The sequence below is a fragment of the Homo sapiens genome, chromosome 11 (assembly GCF_000001405.40).
Source record: "Homo sapiens chromosome 11, GRCh38.p14 Primary Assembly".
In the NCBI taxonomy this organism is placed as follows: Eukaryota; Metazoa; Chordata; class Mammalia; order Primates; family Hominidae; genus Homo; species Homo sapiens.
Window position 1 is genome coordinate 1,296,354 of NC_000011.10, and position 22,839 is coordinate 1,319,192.

At 51.4% G+C, this 22,839-nt stretch overlaps 1 protein-coding gene and 1 long non-coding RNA gene across 9 annotated transcripts in view, besides 8 other annotated features; one reads left to right on the top strand and one right to left on the bottom strand.

Moving 5' to 3' along the window:
• The window catches only part of TOLLIP (toll interacting protein), a 35,262-nt gene extending 21,983 nt beyond the window's left edge, over positions 1–13,279 (bottom strand). For 5 of the 8 annotated variants that reach the window (NM_001318512.2, NM_001318515.2, NM_001318516.2 and 2 more), the window contains exon 1: positions 13,113–13,279. In NM_001318512.2, coding sequence (NP_001305441.1) covers positions 13,113–13,145 — 33 coding nt within the window. In that variant the 5' untranslated portion in view covers positions 13,146–13,279. Of the gene's footprint in view, positions 1–102; positions 2,212–3,524; positions 3,660–6,230; positions 6,438–13,112 lie in introns of those variants that run through there. The other 3 variants (XM_047427134.1, NM_001318514.2, XM_047427135.1) reach the window with 3 other exon arrangements.
• Positions 2,064–2,795: an enhancer, noted in NCBI's record as "H3K4me1 hESC enhancer chr11:1319647-1320378 (GRCh37/hg19 assembly coordinates)". NCBI's record gives its function as "activates a minimal SCP1, AML or CMV promoter by ChIP-STARR-seq in primed H9 embryonic stem cells {active_cell/tissue: H9 hESC(primed)}" and the evidence as "EXISTENCE:reporter gene assay evidence [ECO:0000049][PMID:30033119]".
• Positions 2,796–3,527: an enhancer, noted in NCBI's record as "H3K4me1 hESC enhancer chr11:1320379-1321110 (GRCh37/hg19 assembly coordinates)". NCBI's record gives its function as "activates a minimal SCP1, AML or CMV promoter by ChIP-STARR-seq in primed H9 embryonic stem cells {active_cell/tissue: H9 hESC(primed)}" and the evidence as "EXISTENCE:reporter gene assay evidence [ECO:0000049][PMID:30033119]".
• Positions 5,550–6,073: an enhancer, noted in NCBI's record as "H3K4me1 hESC enhancer chr11:1323133-1323656 (GRCh37/hg19 assembly coordinates)". NCBI's record gives its function as "activates a minimal SCP1, AML or CMV promoter by ChIP-STARR-seq in primed H9 embryonic stem cells {active_cell/tissue: H9 hESC(primed)}" and the evidence as "EXISTENCE:reporter gene assay evidence [ECO:0000049][PMID:30033119]".
• Positions 6,074–6,597: an enhancer, noted in NCBI's record as "H3K4me1 hESC enhancer chr11:1323657-1324180 (GRCh37/hg19 assembly coordinates)". NCBI's record gives its function as "activates a minimal SCP1, AML or CMV promoter by ChIP-STARR-seq in primed H9 embryonic stem cells {active_cell/tissue: H9 hESC(primed)}" and the evidence as "EXISTENCE:reporter gene assay evidence [ECO:0000049][PMID:30033119]".
• Positions 6,598–7,121: an enhancer, noted in NCBI's record as "H3K4me1 hESC enhancer chr11:1324181-1324704 (GRCh37/hg19 assembly coordinates)". NCBI's record gives its function as "activates a minimal SCP1, AML or CMV promoter by ChIP-STARR-seq in naive H9 embryonic stem cells {active_cell/tissue: H9 hESC(naive)}" and the evidence as "EXISTENCE:reporter gene assay evidence [ECO:0000049][PMID:30033119]".
• Positions 12,735–13,444: a silencer, noted in NCBI's record as "silent region_3052". NCBI's record gives its function as "represses an Ori minimal core promoter by ATAC-STARR-seq in GM12878 lymphoblastoid cells {active_cell/tissue: GM12878}" and the evidence as "EXISTENCE:reporter gene assay evidence [ECO:0000049][PMID:35858748]".
• TOLLIP-DT (TOLLIP divergent transcript) lies at positions 13,355–14,354 on the top strand. Its single transcript, NR_029409.1, has one exon. It is a non-coding gene; the product is annotated as a TOLLIP divergent transcript (long non-coding RNA).
• Positions 13,675–14,436: an enhancer, noted in NCBI's record as "H3K27ac-H3K4me1 hESC enhancer chr11:1331258-1332019 (GRCh37/hg19 assembly coordinates)". NCBI's record gives its function as "activates a minimal SCP1, AML or CMV promoter by ChIP-STARR-seq in naive H9 embryonic stem cells {active_cell/tissue: H9 hESC(naive)}" and the evidence as "EXISTENCE:reporter gene assay evidence [ECO:0000049][PMID:30033119]".
• Positions 14,970–15,099: a silencer, noted in NCBI's record as "silent region_3053". NCBI's record gives its function as "represses an Ori minimal core promoter by ATAC-STARR-seq in GM12878 lymphoblastoid cells {active_cell/tissue: GM12878}" and the evidence as "EXISTENCE:reporter gene assay evidence [ECO:0000049][PMID:35858748]".

The window sequence follows — 22,839 nt, forward strand, 5'->3', positions numbered from 1 at the left end:
ATCCTATGTCTCCTCGACCCTCTGTCCACCACTGCCACTTCTGAGGGGAAGAGAGAGGATGGGCCCAGGCAGGACAATGCCATCCCGAAACCACCCGCACACCTGCAGCGGCCGAAGGGGCCTGGGGTAAACCATGCTCCACAGGTGAAAGGTCGCTGATGAGGCCCTGAGCATGGGTCTGGCTGCTGGTGGAGTGGGGTGGAGGCCTGGTTGCTGGAGGAGTGGGGTGGAGGCCTGGTTGCTGGTGGAGTGGGGTGGAGGCCTGGTTGCTGGTGGAGGCCTGGTTGCTGGAGGAGTGGGATGGAGGCCTGGTTGCTGGTGGAGTGGGGTGGAGGCCTGGTTGCTGGTGGAGTGGGGTGGAGGCCTGGTTGCTGGAGGAGTGGGGTGGAGGCCTGGTTGCTGGTGGAGTGGGGTGGAGGCCTGGTTGCTGGTGGAGTGGGGTGGAGGCCTGGTTGATGGAGGAGTGGGGTGGAGGCCTGGTTGCTGGTGGAGTGGGGTGGAGGCCTGGTTGCTGGTGGAGTGGGGTGGAGGCCTGGTTGCTGGTGGAGTGGGGTGGAGGCCTGGTTGCTGGTGGAGTGGGGTGGAGGCCTGGTTGCTGGTGGAGTGGGGTGGAGGCCTGGTTGCTGGTGGAGTGGGGTGGAGGCCTGGTTGCTGGTGGAGTGGGGTGGAGGCCTGGTTGCTGGTGGAGTGGGGTGGAGACCCAGCCGTCTGCAGGGGCCCCGGTCAGCGCCAGTGCCCTGGGCAGTTGTTTTCAGGAAATACCGAGTGGAACCTGGAACCCTCGGTGTGTCGGACGTGAGCTTAGGCAAAGTGCACGTGCTGAGGCCGCCAGAACGCCTCTGCCATGCACACCAGAAACCCGTACCTGCCTGTGCCATGGACTCCCAATGACACGGTGCCAGGCAGGGCTCCAGGAGGTTCTGAGTTAAGCCCTGCACCTGCTGTGCTCTGGGCGCCTGGCACTTCAAAGGACCCCGAGAGGGTCTAGCTCCTCACCTGTGTCCCCATCTAAGGCCTGGAGCGCACAAGCCAGTCAGCGCTCCACAACCAATGTGAGTAAACAGAAGGGACCCGGACGATCCAGGCACCGCTTCGAGCAGTTACGGACTCAGGACCCCCAAGTTCGGGAAGCTCTCTGCAGGCTGCACCCCAACCTGAGCAGCCAGCATGGCGTGTGCTCAACCGCTCTTCTCTAAAAAGCAAAACACACTTTGTGCGTTTCCCCACACTTTACCCCGTTTTTGACTGGGACACGTCACGAGTGACCTTTGCCCTGTGAGAGAAGCCGTACTGCGAGAACAAGCAGAGCACCCCGGCTTCACCTCCGGAGGGTGTGGCATAGGCCAGGGCCCGGAGGGACCCCCTGCCCTTACGGACAATCGAGGAGGGTGCAGAGGTGCCTGAGCGGAGTGGGCCCATGCCAGGAGTCCCAGGCCAGCCTCCCCCAGGCAGCCTCTCTCGAGGCGCTGTACAGCTCAACAGCAAGCTCTGGCTCAGGAGGGCGCTGAGAGGCCCCATGGCACGAGATGCTAAGCACCTGTTCCTGTTGGCACACAGGAAACACTGGGGTACAGAAGGCCAGGGCCCTTCGCCTGCCTCCCAGAAGGATTCACAGCCCAGAGCTCTCTCCCCGGGGGACACCTGGCCACACAGGACGTGCTTCCCTGCCAACCCCACAGGGCCCTGGCACAGCCCATGCCAGCAGGCTCTATGACTAGCTCTGTCTGCTCACCAGGAACGGGTTATCTTGCAGAAACAGACTCGTGCTAACCAAGTTCTCAGGACTAACATACACAGGCCAAATTCCTGTTTATTTGTGACAACTGCTTCCTGTGTGCCACATGCACAGCTCTGAGGACATGGCAGGAAAAGCACCGTATCTCCTGGGCACACATGGCAGACAGACAGGCGGCTCGTGCCCTCCTGGGCACACGTAGGGGACAGACAGGTGGCTCATGCCCTCCTGGCCACACGTGGGGGACAGACAGGCGACTCATGTCCCGGAGACAGCAGCATGGAGAAGCCAGTCGGGGGAGGGTGTGGGTGGTCACAGGGACGTGTGGGCGTGGGGTCCAGAGGCCTCTGAGGGAGCACTGTGGGTCCCTCGCTGCTCTGGATCCTGGTTGTCCCGGTATTTGAAGGCGTCCAGCGCTCCATCTCCTTGCTCTGCACTCTTTAGGTGTCCGTTAAAGACAGTGGGACTGCTCATTACTGGGAGAAAATAAAATTATATCCAAAGGCCTAATGATCAAGTGTCATTTTTCAACAAGGATTTAACCATAAAATGGCAAATAGGAAAAGAGGGTTTTTAAACATAAACCGTGTGGATAGAACACGAAAAGGGGAGAAGCAGCTCCCTGCGGATGGAGCTCATCAGCCCCACGCAGCCCGGGGACCGCAGCCAGCGCCATGTGGCGGGGCAGGTGCGCGTCCAGCTCCCCGAGATGACACACGCCTCACATCTGGGTTTTCTTCCCAAAAACCCACACCCCAATTAAGAGACATCTGACAAAATCCCTGACCAGTCAGTCGTCCTCAAACCGTCAAGGTCCCAAAAACACAAGGAAAGCCTGAGAGACGGTCCCAGATTGGAGATGGCAGACATGATGGCTAAACGCAAGGCAGGGTGCTGGGACAGCAGGGGACAGTCATCGAAAAACCAGGACAGCCAAATAAAACCTGGAGCCAACAGTCATGCCCCCAGCTCAGCGCCACAGCTGTGAGAGCTGTTCCCGGGGAGGGGAGCGTCGGCCAGGGGACATGGGTGAGACACACAGGACCTCTTCGTGCCAGCTTTTCAATTCGTCATAAGACTGAACACTACAAAATTCAAGGTTTTTCAGAAAAATATTCCATTTAACCTGAAGACAGGAAGAGCAAGAGAGGAGACGGAGACCAGGCTTCAGTCCTCCCCGTACAAATACTGGTTACGCAACCTGCTGCCCCGCCTACCAGGGAGAGGCGGCTTGCCTGCTGCTGCAATGCCCTCGTTTCTCAACTTAGAGCAAAGCCCTTCAAACGAGGAGGGAGTGCTACCAGTTCATGCTTCACGAGTCACAGGGGAGAGAGTCCAGGTGCTGAAGTAAACCCTATCGTTTCAGTGACGACACTCGGTCCTTCAGTAAATGTCTATTTTGAATTTATTTTTTAAATTCAGTGCTAATCCTAAAATTTATTTTTGCCATATGATGATGGAGGAACTATTTCAATGGTCACATAAAAATATATGCTTTACCCTGGTTCAAAGGCTTGGAAATATGAAAACAAAAATGATTACTCCCGATACATAATGGATATTTTTCTAGAATTTTGCTTCCATGTACAAGATGCACATACTGAGTTCAACACTAACAAGTCTAAATGCCCGTGTGAAGGCCAACAATTCCACTTCAGGAGCCAGTCCCCTGTCAATGCTCACTCGGGCACGTGAGCACAGGATGCCTGAGGCTGCGTCACCTGTGCCGTCAAAACGCCCCGTCCACCAGCCAGGCACATCCACCCAGCGCATCGCCACGCGGCCTCACCAGGAGCCGGCGGTCCCTGCCGCGAACACATGGAGACTCGGGGGACGGAGGCGGAGGCGGAGGTGCGGCACGACCTGCTGCAGGGAGCCATAAGGAGGCCTCTGTCGACACCAACTCTGGAGGAGCATTCAGGAATGGAACTCGAGGGAAACAGGCAGGGAAGATTCTATTTCAATTTATTTATACTTTTATATCCTGCTAGTTATTTTTAGAAACTTTTTAAAAACATTCGTGAATTACTTTTAAAATAAAAAGGACAGGGTAGGGCTCTCATCCCACAGAGCTCACAGCATTTTATCTTCTCTGAAAATAAAAGCTACTTTTATAAATATTAGTCTGTTTTAAATATAGTTTTAAAATGTAACTTCAAATTTCTTGGAATTGCTGATTCTCCTCCCCCATGTGCCGCTCTCAGAGGATCACGACGCAAGCCTGTGACTGACGACCATTCCTCCCTCACTGACGCCAGAGCTCTAAACCACTGCAGCGTACCTTTCCACACGAAAGAAAAGAGGTCTCCAACATTCACTTCTATTTAAAACAATTTCTCTTCAAGTCTAAGTTTTAGTTTTGGCACAGAAATAAAGTCTTAATTCTTCTTTTTTGTCATGCAATGTGTGTAGTCAATCCAAAGCTAATTTTTCTTTTTAAGCACACAAATTAAACACCCACTGTGAATATTCCTGTTGGTGACACGTCTCCAACGGAGAGAGCCGCTGCTTCCTTGGGCCACACTTTCTGCCCGACACCTGTTAGGAATACGTTTCCGACTGAGAGTGCCGCTGCTTCCTTGGGCCACACTTTCTGCCTTGACAGAGCCCCGGAAGAGCCCAGCTCAGCCCAGGACGTGGAGTCCTGAACACATGCAGTCCTGGCCTCACGCCTGCCAGGAGACATCACCCCAAGGAGCCGCACCACAGTCGCCCCTGAAGCACGGCTGGCCACACGCAGGCGGCAGGAGACCAGGGTTTCCTGGCCACTTCCATGACTGGCCCCCTGCGGAGCCTTTTTAAACCTTCTCACCGTTCCCACCCCATGACGCTGCGAGGCTGTGGAGGTGCTGTTTGTGTCTGTGTGCCACGCATGCACCTGCACTTGGCATGTAAACACTGCAAGCAAGGCTCAACGAGTCTCAGCGCTAACGCCAGGTTAGCATAACTAAGTCGAACGAAGTTCAATTAAAAACTAAAATGCTTCTAGCACTTCATGACTATGCGCTGAGCAGCGCTGAGTGTAATTTATTTACATAAATTGTAATGTATCAAATCACACGTAGAAATAAACAACTTATATAAACACAATAAAAAATATCCTTAGTGAACTGAAGCTTTTGCTTGATGTGAGAAAGTACCTTTTAACTGGCTGGCTGGTATTCTTTCAGCAAACTGACATCATTAGCGATGGGCTAAATACGTTCTGTGGAATTAAATCACAAAATGTCGACGATTCTCATTCAATTCTCCAAGCCAGAGTCTCACACCAGCACTGAGGATCCCACACAAACGGCATCCGCAGGCGCCTGCCCACCCTCCCCACCCACCTCACAGCAGGTCTGAGATCGCACATGTGTCGCGGGCTTCCGAGAACTCCGTATCCATGTGCTGGGACACCCAGAAAACCCAGGGACAATGAAATACTAAGGAGCAAGAAATCCAGGAGCTGTGCTGGGGAGGCACACACGGCCGCCAAACCCCAGAAGTTTCCTCCCCCAAGAACCCCTTGTGCCCTCTCAGGGTCAATATCACCCCCACATTGAGAACAAGCGTCAAGGACTCCTGAAGCCACAAAGCCAGCCCACGGAGGCCCCAACACAGAAGCCCAACTAGTGAAACTCTGTACCCTGAGCCCTAGGTTTCTCCAGTTCCTAACATGGCCATGATTCAACGTGACTTTCAGAGCTGGGACCCACAGCAGGAAGACCTGGGCTGGGCTCGTGGCTAAAGGGACAGAGGAAGCTAATGAAACAGAGAGAAATAAATCCCCCGTAGTAGGAACATCTAGGGATATGGGCGGAAGTCAGTCTCAAAGCCTCTTGGGCGAGGTCTGAGTGTCTGCTAGGAAGGGAGCCCCAGACTCGGTCAGGGCCCCAGGACTCACATAGAACAGCACAGTTGGTCCAGATGAAGCTGAGAACCTGGAGCCCAGGTCATCACCAGCCTCCCTGCTGTGTCTGAGGGGCTGGCCCTGCCTTGAAGGCCCTGCAAGGGGCCTGCTCCAGGCCACTGTCCTACAGGGGATGTCTGCTGCTAGGTTCACACCCAGGTCAGAGCTCAGTCTGGCCCAGGAGAAATGGCCCATCCACCCGATGCCCGCACACCTGTGTGATTCACATCCAGATCCGGGCGTGCAAGAGGGCGGGAACGCGCACCAGGGCTGAGACACAGGGCCGTGGGCAGTCAGGACAGACCCTGGGTGGCCCTGGCGGTCCCTCTGCCCAGCTGACTGACCCCTCAGTGCGCAGGGTTTCAGAGACTGAAGTGCCAGCCTGCACATGCCCCAGGCCTGCACACTCACGGCCAAGAGGGGAGCCCCGTGGAGGTGAAGGACTCACCGACACTCACTGGTGGCCACTGCCATTGCCCTGTAAGTTTAGCATTTTCCAAAATAAGGCTAGAAGGAAAACTGCAATTCCCCATGCCCACTCAGCTGCTGGCTCCCTCACCCACCACCCTTCACAGCACCAGCATCCAAAAGCTGGACCAGTACCTGACCCTGCAGCCCCTGGCACTCCAGCCAGCCTCGGCCTCACGCTCCACACCAGCCTCCTGACACTCCCCAAAACCCACTCCAGCCAGCCTCGGCCTCATGCTCCACGCCAGTCTCCTGGCACTGGCATGTTCAATAAACAACCCTTGAGCAAATAAGTGGCATTTCATGCAACTGCTCTTGGCAAGGCAGCTCCCACGCCAGTGTGGACGGGCAGTGGTGACTTTGTCCCCAGTTCCCACATCCTCCTCCCACGGCCGCTCAGCAGCCCCCTCCCAGGAGCCCTCGCTGAGCACTCATTCGCCGTGCCTTGTCTCCCCTTCCGGGGCCTTCCTCAGACAGGGCTTTCCTTCCCTCTTCCTATCACCCCCTCCCCTCTTCCTTTAATTATACAAAACACAACAGGCGCTTCAAAGCCAACATGCCGGGAGGTTCCCTGGCTCTGCTAAAGTCTCAAAGCAAACACTAGAATTTGTGTAAGGGAAGCTGGGAGATGACAGTATTGAAACGAACCCGTGTAAGCTGAAGAGCGGTGAAAGGGAAGAGTACAGGACAGAATGAGAATAAGCATAGATTATAAAAGCTGACTACAGAACAAGCGACTTTAAATGGGGTCTCTGCCAGGAACTCCACTGCAGGCAGCCTTGCATCCTAAGTGCTGGGACGGTCAAGCAAGGCAGAGGCGGAAAACCCCTTCTCATTCAGATGAAACAAAAGCCAGTCAAGCAGCAGGCCAAGGGCGGACAGAGATCCAGAGAGGGACGGCATGTGACGTGGCAGGCCCTGGGCGCCGGGCACAGGGCGCGCGCTGCGGCAGCCTCTGCGTGTCACTGTGTGCCTGAGGCTTCCATGGTGAGGTGCTGGGGCACCCCTGCTCCTGGGATGCTTACACGTGAGTGGAAGAAGACAAACGGGAAGCATCATGAGTTATGCTGTATGCTAACGGCAGGAGGCGCTGTGCAAAGAAACAGGGCAAGGCCGGGTGGCAGGGGCACGCTGCACTTCCCACAGGGCAGCAAGGCAGGCCTCACCAGCACGGTGCCAGGGCAGGGCCCGCAGGATCTGGAGACAGTGACTCAGGGACAGGAAACACTTGCACAGCAGGCCTAACCAGGGGCCTGTCGGGCAGGTCAAGGGACAGTGTTAGAGGCCCAGATGAACAGAGGTTAGGGCCGGGTGCAGTGGCTCACGCCTGTAATCCCAAAACTTTGGGAGGCTGAGGTGGGCGGATCACTTGAGACCAGGAGTTCGAGAACAGCCTGGCCAACATGGTGAAACCCCATCTCTACTAAAAATACAAAAATTAGCTGGGCGTGGTGGTGGACGCCTGTAATCCCAGCTACTCGGGAGTCTGAGGCAGGAAAATCGCTTGAACCTGGGAGGAAGAGGTTGCAGTGAGTTGAGATTGTGCCACTGCACTCCAGCCTGGGCTACAGAGCGAGCCTCCATGTAAAAAAAAAAAAAAAAAAAAAGACCTCAAGTGAACTGGGAGGCAGGCCAGAAGCAGCGTATTCAGAAGGCAGCAAACAGAGGGCCAAAAACGAAGGAAAGCCGGAGGAAGGGACATCCACTCCCGGGCTGCTCAGCAGCCACTCCAGGAGCCAGGAGAGGGCGGGGTCCCACCTTCGAGGCACTGAGGACAAGTGACCGTCCACCGGGAGTACTGTCCACCTGGAGTACCGCCCACCTGGAGTTCCACACACACAAAAATAGCTGTCAGGACACAGAGAAAAGGCATGTACAAGCAAAAATCAAGTTTGCCAGCAAGGAAAATTCTAGATGAACCTGAAGCTAAAGGAAAGTGACCCCAAATGGAAGGCCCGAGACACCAGAAGGGATAAGAAAAGAGAAACACAGAAGGAAATCTAAACAAGCGCTGACTCGAGAGAAGTAACACATTCCTGCGGGAGCCCCAAGGGGAGGTAGCACCCACACAAGGCACAGCAGCACCCGCGCCAGGACGGGGCGGCCGAGGTCTCCGCGTGGATCCGGAGGTGGCACAGACAATGATTAACTTCTTCTTTATTTATTCTTTAGCCGGGCAGCCTCCGGAGCCAGAGTTCACTCAGAGACTCCCTCATGGCAGAAGCTGATAAGTGCATGTTACCATTTCCAGGGGAGCCCCTGTACTTTCCCAGCACAGTGTGTATGTACTTGAGATAAAACAACTGAATTTTTTAAAACTCCATTTAATAAATTCAAAAGGCAATGAGAGAAAAAAAATAAGAAAATGTAGGACAAATAAAAGCACCAAAGAAAACATGTAAAAAATCTGTAAATCTGTGTATCCATCTAGGCATCTCTTAACTAGAAAGATGAAACTAGCGCATTCCCATCAAAAGACTTAGTCTTCTTAGATTTGACTTTTTAAAAATCCAGCTACGTGCTATCGATGGTGCACGTGTCTTAAACAAAAGTTTTCAGAAAAATGTAAAATCATAGAAGGAAAAAGTACTAGGTGAATACTCTCTAAAAGACAGCTGGGGTGGCCATGCCAGTATCAGACAAAATAATCAAAGGCAAGAGGCCTTTATCTTCCAAGAGGCCCGTGGGTCCCCACACAGTGAAAAGATGTGATTTCCAGGCAAGCACAGCAATTCCACACCTGTACAGACTCACAACCCGGCCTAAAAAATCCAGCGCAAAGGTTCACAGGAACCCAGAGAGAAAGGACTCGTGAGGAGGCGGTGAGTGCGTTCCCCGCTGGCTCAGGTGCAGTCAGCAGGAACGGACGCCCTCCCAGGAGCAGCCCACCAGAGCCAGCGGAGACGGGTAAGTGCCACTGGCTCAGACACACAGGATGCAGGAAAATCCACGGGCTCTTCACAACACTCAGGGGAGAGAAAGCCCACACACATCTACAAAGAAAAGCAACTCTCTCCTTGAGGTACGGGAAGATGAGGGAAAAGCATCTCACTTGCCTTTCTTTCACGAATTGTGTTTCAGGACAGCCAGCCGACACCGGTTGATGGGGAAAGCTAATCTTTACAAACAATCCCAGTTAATAAACACCGAAGAAGTGATAAAGTTCAGAAACTACCCTCTGCCATCCCTAATGAAGTCACCGATTCGGCAGGAATTATCAACGATGTGAAGAGTGAGGGGACCTGGACAGGAACAGGCCTCTCAGGGAGGAAGGGAGGGGCCAGGCCGCCTCCAGCTGGACTCCATGGCCAACCAGCACCTCCAGAAGCAGGACAAGGAGTCAGAGCAGCCTGGACACGGCACAGCGCACCCACCTCTACCAAGGAGGCCTCTCTGACGGCACCGCGGTGGCTGCAGCGGAGTCTCCCGCAAACGTCCCGAGATCTCACTGCAGAAGGCAGGGGTCCACACGGTACTCCTCGATACTCCTCGCGGGGGCCCGCACGGTACCCCTCGCAGGGGCCCCCATGATACTCCTCACAGGGGTCCACACAGTACCCCTCGCAGGGGCCCCCACGGTACCCCTCGCAGGGGTCCACATGGTACTCCTTGCAGGTACTCACCCATGCTTTCTGATAATATGCAGACTATATTGAAAAAAGGTTATCTTTCCAAAATACTGGCCTTTTTGAAACGTGAGGGAAGCACTGCACAGGGCTGAAGCATCCCTTAGTGGCTATTCAGGGAACCATTATCCTGAAGATCTAAACACGGTATGATTCTCTCAGAACGATGTCGGGCTGGCTAGCTTCACACGTCCTCTCCACACCTACCCACCCGGGCCCCTGAAGCTCCCTCTACCCAAGGACAAAAGAACCCTCCCAGGACCCCATTAGCGGCCCCTCTGCTCCTTCACGGCCCATGGGATCTTGCCGTCTCCCCTTATCACTAGGGGGAGGCAACGGCTAGACCACAGTCAGGGTCTCCCGAGCCAGAGTCCTGCCCCCGGACCCTGGGGAGCATCTCTTTCTGCTGGAAAGCTGAGCGAGCGCCCTGCTTAACCTCCTGCCTCTCTGGCACCACAGGTGTAACAGAAAGAGGACATGATAAATACTGTGTCAAGACATCCTGCAAAAGCAGGGCTCCTCTAGGTGCTAGTAACTGGGTAAAGGCCCACTATGGGTTAATTCAGAGGGGCTGGGGTGGGTCATGCTCAGCGAAGCAGGCTGGTGCCAAGGCGGGCCCTGCCTTGCGTGTGCCAGGCAACACTTTACAGAGTGCTGCGCTGAGCCGGTAAACTCCAGGGCAAGTCCAGTCCTCCTGTGCCCAGGACCCTCCGGCGGCCTCCAGCTCCTGCCTCCCTCCATCCTCGGCCCCTGGGGCTCCCTCCTCTCCACCTCCAGACCCCACACCTCTCTTTCCGTGCCCTGCCCTCCCAGCCCAACCCCTACTCCCATTCCTCCTCCGAGAGATGTCACGTCCTCACCCCAACACCCAGCCCTGGTGAGGCCCATTTACAAACTCTCCCAGCACCTGACGCTTAAGATCACAGACCCACCGGGCCGTCACCACACAGCTCAGCTGTCCTTATGTGCTGCCATGTCTACCGTGCTGCCCTGGAAGACCCCAGTGGCAGGAACCACCTGGTTGTCCCCTGCATCATGGCCATCCTGAACGCCACAGTTGGTAGCGCTGGTTGATTAAGTCACATGTACTCCAAGCAACACCTGAGACCCCCGTCGCTGACAACACCTTCTTAAGAGACCCTGGCAGCTCCGAGCCAGACCTCATGTTACTATGCGTTTACCGGTCAACGGGGGTGCCCCTGAAATACCTGCTCGTCTACATGATGGAAACAGCCCAGGAGGCACTGGGCAAGAGGAGATTCTAACGACACCTCAGCACTTGCCAGCACAGGCCCTGCGTGTGAGAACATCTCCTGCCGCTCCCACTTCCTCATCGCGGGTGTAACAGCGCTGCACGCCGGTGCCCCTCAGAACAGGAAGGGCCTGCCTCCCACTGCTCCCTGCCTGCTCAGCACCTGATGCATTCAAAATCAGTCCTACACCCCAGTGGGGTTCCAGATGAGGAACAAGTTCCCAGGAGGCAGAGGATGTCTCCCAGACCACACAGCAAGGAAGGGGCCATCCTGCCTGGCCACCATGCCCCCCTGCTCTCCAGGAGGACACAACAGCAGGGTGCTGGTTCCCTTGTTGCTCTGAGTCTCCTGTTAGGCAGAAAGGAGCACTTGGCTGCCACGGCAACTTGCGGGGACTCACTGTGGTGGAGTAAAGATGAAGAGGTAGAGACGCTGCCATCAGAGGCCGTCCAGGACCTCTGCCGACCCGTAGGCTCCACACCTGAGTCTCATAAGTGTCAGGAGGTTTCCTTCAAAGTCCTCAGAAAAAGCAGCTATGCCCAAAACCTGGGGCTTCATTCTAAACTCAGAAAAAATGTTCTACCTGAAGAATTATCTCCTCGGGAGAAACACCAGGACTTGTGGATACAGTGTTAAGGGTGGGGAGCCCTGGTGACCCCTCCACCACGTCCAGTACTGGGCTGCGCGAGGGCAGGGACCTTGGAGCATCGTGAAAAAGGACTTTTTCCACCCACGGCATGTTCAGAGCCACTGTTGATAAAAACTGTACCGCTCACGACAGCCTGCCCCAGCCCAGCCTCAGTGAGTGACACGGTTTGAATCTGTGTCCCCGCCAAATCTCACGCTGAATTATGATCCCCAATGTTGGAGGTGGGGCCTGGCAGGGTGGGTGTGTGGGTCACAGGGACAGATCCCTCGTGGCTTGGTGCTGTCCCGGTGATAGTGAGTTCTCACAAGATCTGGTCATTACAGTGTGTGGCACCTCCCCACCCCCAACTCTCTTGCTGCTTTCGCCATGTGACGTGTAAGCTCCCACTTGGCCTTCCGCCATGACTGGGAGCTTCCAGAGGCCTCCCCAGGAGCAGATGCCGGCACCATGCTACCTGTACAGCCTGCAGAACCGGGAGCCAATTAAATCTCTTTTCTTACAAATTACCCAGTCTCGGTATTCCTTTACAGCAATGCAAGAAGGCCCTAACAGTGAGCCAGGAGGCCACTCACGCCAGGAGCCCATCATCTCTGAGTCAGTCTACACCAGCTCTCCTGCAATATTAATGCTATAGAAGAAACTGCCAGGCAACTCTCAGGAGAGAATTCAGAGCAGGAAAGGTTCTCTGAAGTTCCTGGCGCCTATCCTCTCATTTGCAAATGAAGAAACTGAGGTTTTGCACGGTGGCCACTAACCGGGGACACAATTGGGCCCAAGAAGTGGTCACCACTGCCCTCACTCTGTGTAAATGAGAAAGAGGAAACAGCCATCATCTATGGGACCAACTAGAGTGCAGGCCCGCCTCCACCTGGGGGGCCATCAGGGTGCGGGACCCGCCTCCACCTGGGGGGGCCATCAGGGTGCGGGGCCCGCCTCCATCTAGGGTGCCATCAGGGTGCGGGACCCGCCTCCACCTGGGGGGCCATCAGGGAGCAGGGCCCGCATCCATCTAGGGGACCATTAGGGTTCAGGGCCCGCCTCCACCTGGGGGACCATTAGGGTGCGGGGCCCTCCTCCATTCGGGAGTCAGAGCTCGGGGCCGCCTCCATCTGGGCACCGGGCCCTCCTCCATCTGGAGACCATTGGGGAGCGGGGCCTGCCTCCCTCTGGGGCACCATGGGGCACGGGGCCCGCCTCCATCTGGGGCTCACAACGGGCGCAGGCCCCCTCCCCCGGGGCTGCCTCCCCAAAGCTCTGCCCCGGCACGGCGGTGAGCTCAAGCCTCCTGCAGCGTGGGCGCGTCCGTCCGGCCCGCCCCGCCCCGAGGTGTGGACGCCGCCGCTCCCCTCCGGCCGGCCAGGCGCCCCGCGTGCCCCGGGAGAGCCGCGGAGTCGGCCCGCCAGCCGCAGCTGAGCAGTAGCCCTGACCCAAGGCCCCGCCCGCAACCGCAGGTCACCGCCCCCGCCCGACCCTCGCCCGGCTGCCTCACCGGCCCGCGCTGAGTGCTGACGGTGGTCGCCATGGTGCTGCGGCGGCCCCCGTGGCTCGCCGACCCGACAGTGACGCGCCGGGCGACCTCCTGCGCCCCCGCCGGAGCCTGCGACGGAGACAGTTGTCACCTCGAGGCCGCCGCCGCCACAGTCAGCTGACAGCCGCCGCGCCCCGCCCCCGGCACCGCCCCACTGCGCAGGCGCCGCGCCAGGCACCGCCCCTTCCGGCTCTCGCGCGCACGCGCGCTCCAGGGTAGGGCAGGCGCAGCCTCTCGCCCGGCGCCTGCGCACCTGCTCTCTCCTCGAGCCCTGCAGCCCGGCGAAATGGCTCCCGGCGGGGCCGTTTGCGCATGCCCAGTCATGACGGTTGTCGGCGCGGGCCCTAGCGTGGCGGCGCTGCAGTCTGGGCAGTGGGTTGGTTCCTCCTCGGTCCTCTGTCGAGTGGCGACAGGGCCTAGCCACCTGGCGGGGGTGACCTTCGGACGTGCGACCCGCTCGGAGAAGGGAGGGAACTGTGGCCCGCAACAAAGCAGTGACAGGCCCGACATCCCCTGCAGGGCGATCTTTCCCTCAGCTGCCTGCCGGAGGAAGGGCCTTTCTGTTTCACAGGGCTAAAGATGGGGCGCGGTTCCTCCACGGGGCGGCTGCCGGGTGAACGGAACGGGGATGGAGGCGCTGCCAGAAGAGCCCGAGCTCGAGCCCGCCCTGCCCTCGGCCTCCCCGCCGCGCCGCTCCGCAGGAGCCCCGCTCCTCTCCTGCTCGCTCCGGAGAACCCCAGTCCGGCCTGACCTCGGCCCTCGCGGTCAGGCGCTCCAACCAGAGCGACTCCAGCTCGAACAGCGCTGGGTAAACTGAGGCTGAACCCCGCTGGCTGCATCCCCAGGAGTCGGGCGTTTACGGTCACGGGAACAGGTTAATAAACTTTTACGCAGCAGACCCGGAACTTAGGTCCCGATGTCCGGGTATCTTAAGAACAAGAAGCATTCTTAGTTGAAGTTTCGCTTTAAAGATAATGATACAGATGCTTGCGGAGGACAGGCGTTATGCAAAGATTGGCAATCCTTTGACGAGCCCAGGTAGTACAGCACGTCTCCCCCGTGATGTTTTTTGGCTTTTATCTTACATATAAACAAGCGTACCCAGGTGGACGCCTTCCTCCTCGTGCTTTTGGGAACACCCTGCTCTATGGAGTAGCCATTCTTTTATTCCTTCACTGCCTTAATAAACTTGCTTTCACTTTACTCTGTGGACTGGCCTGGAATTCTTTCTTCCACAAGATCCACGAATCCTCTTTTGGGGTCTGGATCAGGACCCTTTTCCGGTAACACAACCACTCCACTAAAAACTCTTTGTCAGTGATCTCTATATTGTTAGTGGTCAGTTCTCAGTCCTCGTCCTCCGGGAACTACAGCAAAATCGATAGTCATTCTTGCTACACATGCTTTCTTCACTCCCCATCCAGGACACCATGTGCTCTCACTTTCCTCTTATCCCAAAGACCACATCTTTGGGTCTCGGTTACCAGTCTCTCCTTTTAAAACCGGCAGCCTGGCCGCTTGCCTGTTTTGATGGGGTGTAGAGAAAAAGAACGAAAGCCCCTTCCTCAAGTTGTAGCTTAACATCCAGCCAATCCACAGCACAAGACCCAAGAAGCTATTAACCACAAGTTCCTGCTTTGGGGGCCTAGGGACTTCCCCGGGCCCCACATGTGCAGTTAGACTTATACTTCAACTATTGTTACCCCTTCCTCATTTTCACGCTAAAAATCACACCTAGGGGTAGAGATTTAAAATGTGAATGTTGCATGCAATGCATGAAGAAGCATGCAAAGCTACTGAGAAGCACTAGACAAACCCCTCCTATCCATGCCTGGACCAATCCCTTCCCTGTGAAACTAACCCACGTGCCACCCCCTGGCGGCGGGGCCCCCCACCGTTTTCCTTTCATGGTGCTGACTTCCTTGTGCACAAGCTAAATAAAGATTTCTCTTTCTCCTCGCTGCTATGTCTGCTGATCTCTCTTTATTTCTATCCTGGGAGATTACAAGATGCCAGGGCACACTGGTAACACTTTGACTCCTTAACATCGGAGTGCCTTACCTCAGGGCTCAGTCCTTGCACATCTTTTCTATCTACATCCTCAGTGAGCTCATCCAGTTCCATTCCTTTAAATGCCATCCATATGCTGATGATCCTAAAATCTGTATCTCCCACCAGGACCTCCGCTAAACACTAGATTCAGCTCTTGCCTTAATATTATTCCCCTATGGGGTGGACAGGTTGTAAGGTAGACATATGATCCCTGCCTCCTGGTGTTCACATCCTTGAATAATCCTCTTGTCTTGAGGGTGGACAGAGCCTGTGGCTTGCTTTTAAACAACAGAATATGGCAGTGGTGATGGGATGTCCCTCCCATGATTACCTGATGTTATAAAAGACTCCATCTTGCTCTCAGACTTATTCTCAAGGGTCTCTCAGCTGCTGGCTTTGAAGAGGCGAGGTGCCATAATTCCTACAACTTCAAGGAAACAAATTCTGCCAGGAATCTGAGGGGGCTTTGATCCTTCCCCAGTCAAGCCTCCAGATGAGAATGCAACCCAGCTGACAACTTAATTATAGCCTCGTAAGACCCAAGAATAAGCCAGCTAAGCTGTGCCTGAACTCCTACCCCACAAAAACTCTGAGATAAGTGTGTGTTGTTTTAAGCCACTAAGCTTACAGCCACGTGATCTGACTTAAGCATTATTAGAATTCCAGAAGAAAAAAGGAGAATGAGGCAGAAAATCTGAAGAAATAATGGCCAATAATTCTCCAAGTTAATGGTAGGCACCAAACAAAATATTTAGGAAGCAATGGATTCCAAACAAATAAACAAAACACTTAGTCAGGTCATATTCACACTGCTGATAACAGAAAGCAAGGAGAAACTCTTAAAAGCAGACAGAGGAAAATGACACATTACATCCAGAAGAATGAAGATTAGAATAGCAGACTTCTCATTGGAAAGAAGGTAAGTCATGTGAATGGAGTGACATCTTTAAAGTGCTAACAGAAAAAAAATTATATGTCAATTGAAATTTCTTGCAAAATGATATGGCGATGTATTTCAGAACAGTGGTTATCTATGTGTGTTGGAAGTGAGGGACTGGAGATTGACTAGACAGGACCATGAGGGAACTTTCTGGGGTGGTAGAAAGATTATATACCTTGATTGGGATGGAGTGGTTATACCAATGTGTAAATTTATCAAAACTCACATGATTGTAAACTTATGATTTGTGCATTCTGATGTATGTATGTAAGTTTTATCTCAATAAAAGGTTAATGACAAAAAGAAAACACTTTCAATATATATGACAGAGTTAGTCTAAATGTATTAAGAGTGCCTACAAATTTCTAAAAAGAAGACATACAGGCTGGGCGTGGTGGCTCATGCCTGTAATCCCAACACTTTGGGAGGCCAAGGTAGGTGGATCACTTGAGGTCATGAGTTCAAGACCAGCCTGGCCAACATGGTGAAACCCTGTCTCTTCTAAAAATACAAAAAAAAAAAAAAAAAAATAGCCTGGCGTGGTGGCACATGCCTGTAATCCCAGCTACTTGGGAGGCTAAGGAAGGAGAATTGCTTGAACCTGGCAGGCAGAGGTTGCAGTGAGCTGAGATCATGCCACTGCACTCCAGCCTGGGCGACAGAGCAAGACTCTTTCTCAAAAAAAAAAAAAAATGTCTATTCATGTCCTTTGCCCACTTTTAAGTGGGATTTTTTGATTTTTTACTGTTGAGTTGTTTGTATATTCTGGATATTAGTCCCTTGTTGGATGAATACTTCGCAAATATTTTCTCCCATTCAGCAGGTTGTCTCCTCACTCTGCTGATAATTCCCTTTGCTGTGCAGAAACTTTTTAGTTTAATATAGTCCCATTTGTCTATTTTGTTTTTATTGCCTGTGCTTTTAAGATCTTAGCCATAAAATCTTCGCCTAGACCAGTGTCCTTAAGTGTTTTTCCTGTGTTTTCTTCTAGTAGTTTTATACTTTCAGGTCTTACTTTAAGTCTTTAATTCATCTTGATTTGACTTTTGCAGATGGTGGGAGATAGGAGTCCAGTTTCATTCTTCTTCATCTGGATGTCCAATTTTCCAAGCACCATTTATTGAAGAGGGTGTCCTTTCCCCACTGTGTGTTTTTGGTGCCTTTGTCAGAAATCAGTTGGCTGTAAGTATGTGGATTTATTTCTGGATTCTCTCTTCTGTTCCATTGGTCTATGTGTCTGTTTTTGTATGAATACAATGCTGTTTTGGTTATGATACTTTTGTAGTTTATTTTGAAGTTGGATAATGTGATGCCTCCAGCTTTGTTCTTTCTGCTCAGGATTGCTTTGGCTATTTGGGCTCTTTTTGTTCCATAAATATTTTAGGATTGTTTTTTCTATTGCTGTGAAAAATGATGTTGGTATTTTGATAGGCATTGTATTGAATCTATAGATTGTTTTGGGCAGTATAGCCATTTTAATAATATTAATTTTTCCAATCGGTGAGCATGGGACATCTTTCCATTTGTTTGCATCATCTTCAATTTTTTTCATCAGTGTTTTGTAGTTTTACTTGTGGAAGTCTTTCAACTACTTGGTTAAATTTATTCCTATTTTTTTTTGTAGCTGTAGCAAATGGAATTATCTTCTTGATTTCTTTGTCAGCTATTTCATTGTTGGTGTATAGAAGCACTACTGATTTTTGTATGTTTATTTTATATCATGCAACCTTACTGAATTCATTTACCAGATCTAATAACTTTTTGGTGGAGTCCTTAGGTTTTTCCAAATATAAGATTATATCATCTTCAAAGAGGGACAATTTGAATTATTATTTTCCTCTTTTTTTCTTTTTTTTTGCCTTTTATTTCTTTCTCTTGCCTGATTGCCCTGGCTAGGACTTCCAGTATTATGTTGAATAGAAGTGGTGAAAGTAAGCATCCTTGTCTTGTTCCAGATCTTAGAGGAAAGGCTTTCAACTTTTCCCCATTCAGCATGATGTTAGCTGTGGGTTTGCCAGATATGGTCCTTACTATATTGAGGTATGTTCCTTCTGTGCAAGTTTGTTGAGAGTTTTCATCATAAAGGGATGTTGAATTTTATTAAATGCTTTTTTCTGTATCTATTGAGATGATCATATGATTTTTGTCCTTCATTCTGTTGATGTGATGTATCACGTTTATTGATTTACATATGTTGAACCATCCTTGCATCCCTGGGATAACTCCCACTTGGTCATGGCATATTATCTTTTTTGTGTGCTGTTGGATTCAGTTTGCTAGTATTTTATTGAGAATTTTTGTGTCTATGTTCACCAGGGACATTGGCCTATAGTCTTATTTTCTCCTTACATACTTGTCTGGGTATCATGGTGATGCTGGCCTTGTAGAATGAGTTAGGGAGAATTCCCTCCTCTTAATTTTTTTGGGAATAGCTTGAGGAGAATTGGTATTAGTTTTTCTCTGAACGCTTGGTCGAATTTGATAGTGAAGCCATCTGGTCCTGGACTTTTCTGCATTAGGAGACTTTTTTGTTTTGTTTTGTTTTGTTTTGAGATGGAGTCTTGCTCTGTCGCCCAGGCTGGAGTGCAGTGGCGCAATCTCTGCTCACTGCAACCTCCGCCTCCCAGGTTCATGCCATTTTCCTGCCTCAGCCTCCCATGTAGCTGGGACTACAGGCGCCTGCCACCATGACCGGCTAATTTTTTTGCATTTTTAGTAGAGACAGGGTTTCACCATGGTCTCGATCTCTGTACCTCGTCATCTGCCTGCCTTGGCCTCCCTAAGTGCTGGGATTACAGGCATCAGCCACTGCGCCCGGCCTGGGAGACTTTTTATTATAGATTCAATCCCATTACTCATTATTGGTCTGTTCCAGGTTTCTGTTTCTTCCTGATTCAATCTTGGTAAGTTGTATGTGCCTAGGAATTTATCCATTTTCTTTAGGTTTTCCAGTTCATTATTGTGTATAGTTGTTCGTAATAGTTTCTGATGATTTTTTGTCTTCTGTGGTATCAGATGTAATGGTCCCCTTTCTAATTTCTGATTATGCTTATTTGAGTCTCTTTTCTTTTTTCTTTGTTAGTCTAGCAAGAGGTCTATTGATTTTCAATATAACCAACATTTCAAAATAACCAACTTTTTTTTTTTTCAAAATAACCAACATTTTGTTTTGTTGATCCTTTGCTCTTTTTACTCTCTTATTTTGTTTAGTTCTGCTCTGATCTTTATTATTTCTTTCCTCTACTAATTTTGGATTTGGATTGTTCTTGCTTTTCTAATTCCTTGAGGTACATCATTTGATGATTTATTTAAAATCTTTCTATTTTTTGAGGTAAGCATTTACTGCTATGAACTTCCCTCTTAGCTCTGCTTTTGCTGTATAGTTTTTTCTATGTTGTGCTTTTATTTTCATTTATTTCCAGTAAGTTTTTTGGTTTACTCCTAAATGCCTTCCTGATCCAGTGGTTGTTCAGGAGCACATTGTTTTTTGTTTTTGTTTTTGTTTTTTTTCTTTTTTTGAGACGGAGTCTCACTCTGTCGCCCAGGCTGGAGTGCAGTGACATGGTCTTGGCTCACTGCAACCTCCACCTCCCGGGTTCAAGCAATTCTCTTGCCTCAGCCTCCCAAGTACCTGGGATTACAGGCGCCCACCACCATGCCCGGCTAATATTTGTATTTTTGTAGAACATGGTTTCACCATGTTGGCCAGGCTGGTCTTAAACTCCTGACCTCAGGTGATCCCCCCGCCTTGGCTTCCCAAAATGCTGGATTACAGGCATGAGCCACTGCACCCTGCAGGAGCACATTGTTTAATTTCCATGTATTTGTACAGTTTCCAAAGTTCTCGTTATTGATTTCTAGTTTTTATTCTATTGTAGTCTGAGAAGGTTCTTGATATTATTTTGATTTTTAAAAACTTGTTGAGGCTTGTTTTGTGTTCTGACATAGGGTTGAACCTGGAGAATGTTCTGTGTAGCTGATGAGAAGAATGTGTATTCTGTAGCTGCTGCACGGAATGTGCTGTAAACATCTGTCAGGTCCATTTGGTCTAGTGTGTAATTTACATTTGGTCCAATGTTTCTTTGTTAATTTTCTGTCTAGATGATCTGTCTAATGCTGAGAGTGGGCTATTGACGCTCCTATTATTGTATTGGAGTCTACGTCTCCCTTTAGATTAAATGGTGTTGATTTTATATATCTGGGTGCTCTGGTGTTGGGTGCATATTTGTGTAGAATTGCTAGTCCTTTTGCTGAGTTGATCCCTTTATCATTATATAATAACCTTCTTTGTCTCTCTCTCTGTTTTGTTTTGTTTTTTTTGACACAGTCTCACTCTGTTGCCCAGGCTGGAGTACAGTGGCGCAATCTCGGCTCACTGCAACCTCCATCTCCCAGGTTCAAGCGATTCTCCTGCCTCAGCCCCCCAAGTAGCTGGGACTACAGGCACATGCTGCCACGCCCAGCTAACTTTTGTGTTTTTAGTAGAGACAGAGTTTCACCATGTTGGCCAAGCTGGTCTCAAACTCCTGACCTCAGGTGATCCATCCGCCTCCTCCCAAAGTGCTGGGATTACAGGCGTGAGCCCCTGCACCCAGCCACCTTCTTTGTCTCTTTATACTGTTTTTTACTTAGATTCTTATTCTTTGTTCTGGACAAAAAGCCCTGTGTTCCCAGCATAGGAGAAATACAAGGTGCCATTCGCCACCATATTTTCATGGGTGGGTCAACTAAGATATATTGCCACCTACAGCAAGAATTGAAGCATTAGCTACCAACTGTGACTTGTTAGGGAAAACAATAACCAGAAACAGAATATACAACTGCTCTATTCTCCATTTCTGTATCTGTGATGAGGCCTGTGGTGATACTCATAGCTTCCTTAGTCCACCATCCATTTCACGTTCTCCTTTTCTTTGCTAAGTGCCTCAGCCCTATCCGCCCTGAAGGTGGTGTAGATAAGAAGTTCCTGTCAAGTCTGCACTGAGGCTTTCCCAATTTCCATCAGAGAAAGAGGTGAAAAGGCTCTCTTTTAGCGAGGCCTTGGTGTTGCTATGAGCTGGCCTGGCACTCCCAGTTAGGGCGCCGTGTTCTGTTAAACATATCGACTTTGCTGGAGAGTCGCGTCATACAAAGCCAGTCTGTGGTTGTGACGCCTCAGTACAAAAACACACCACTCTCTAATCACGTCTGAATACTGTCCAAGACAAATGACCACATCACCTACCCTGGCCAGTCTGACAGCTGCTGCTTTACTAACTACAACTTTAGCCTCCGCCTACTCTTCCCTCCTTCTAGAGAAAAATTACTAAGAAGCCTAATCAGCTAGGTGCAGTGGCTCACACCTGTGATCCCAGCACTTTGGGAGGCCGAGGTGGGCAGATCACCTGAGGTCGGGAGTTCGTGACCAGCCTGGCCGACATGGTGAAACCCAGTCTCTACTAAAAATACAAAAAATTAGCCGGGCGTGGTGGTAGGTGCCTGTAATCCCAGCTACTCCGGAGGCTGAGGCAGGAGAATTGCTTGAACCCAGGAGGCGGAGGTTGCAGTGAGCTGAGATGGCACGATTGCACTCCAGCCTGGGTAAGGACAGCAAAACTCCTTCACAGAAAAAAAAAAAAAAAAAAGGAAAAACAAAAAGAAGCCTACTCATGGAACTACCCCTGCTTCCTGACTGCATCAAACCCAGAACAAAACCCCACTTCCTTAAACCCTCCCCAGAATACCTCCACAAGCCCCAATGCCACTGTAAGTCCTTTCCGGTGCCCTCTTACGAAGTTAACCTGTAGTTCTCCAGGGTGTGTGTGTGCTCTCCTTCACTGCAACGAGTGATAAACCCAGCTTGCTCCATTACAGGTGTGTTCCCAGTGGTCTTTCGCTGGAGGCATTGGCACATCCGAAGCTTGAATTGTCCTGTTCCTTTGTGAACGCTTTCTGGAGCCGTCAGAGGAAGCCAGCCCATTCCACAGTCTTTGTAATCCCCATTTTTGCTGAAGCAACTGCGTGTCTCAGCCATGTGATTCCCCATCTATTTTCCCTCCACGTGCATGGTGCCCCATGCTGCTGTTGATGAGAACGTGAGGAACTGAGGTGCTACTGTGTGATGTGAGCTCCCAGTGTTCTGTTTCCCCCAGCAAGGATTTATCCCCGTGTTCATCAAATGTATGAGCAATCCAGTCCTGGAATCCCATTCTGAGAGTCTGTTTCTTGGGACCAATTCCGATACCAATGACTGTATCAGTCAAGGGCCCATTATGAAGCCGATGGCATACTCAGAAGGATAACTAATCGGGTCCATCATGTAAGGGGCTTGAAAGTTGATGCTCTGGGCCGGGCACGGTGGCTCATGCCTGTAATCCTAGCACTTTGGGAGGCCAAGGCGGGTGGATCACGAGGTCAGGAGATCAAGACCAACCTGGCTAACACGGTGAAACCCTGTTTCTACTAAAATACAAAAAAATTAGCCAGGCATGGTGGCAGGCACCTGTAGTCCCAGCTACTCAGGAGGCTGAGGCAGGAGAATGGTGTGAACCCAGGAGGCGGAGCTTGCAGTGAGCCAAGATTGCACCATTGCCCTCCACCCTGGGTGACAGAGCGAGACTCTGTCTCAAAAAAAAAAAAAAGTTGATGCTCTGACCTAACAACAAGCAAACAGCTGAAAAAAAAAAAAACCTGAAAAATCAACAGCTTTTCTTAGAA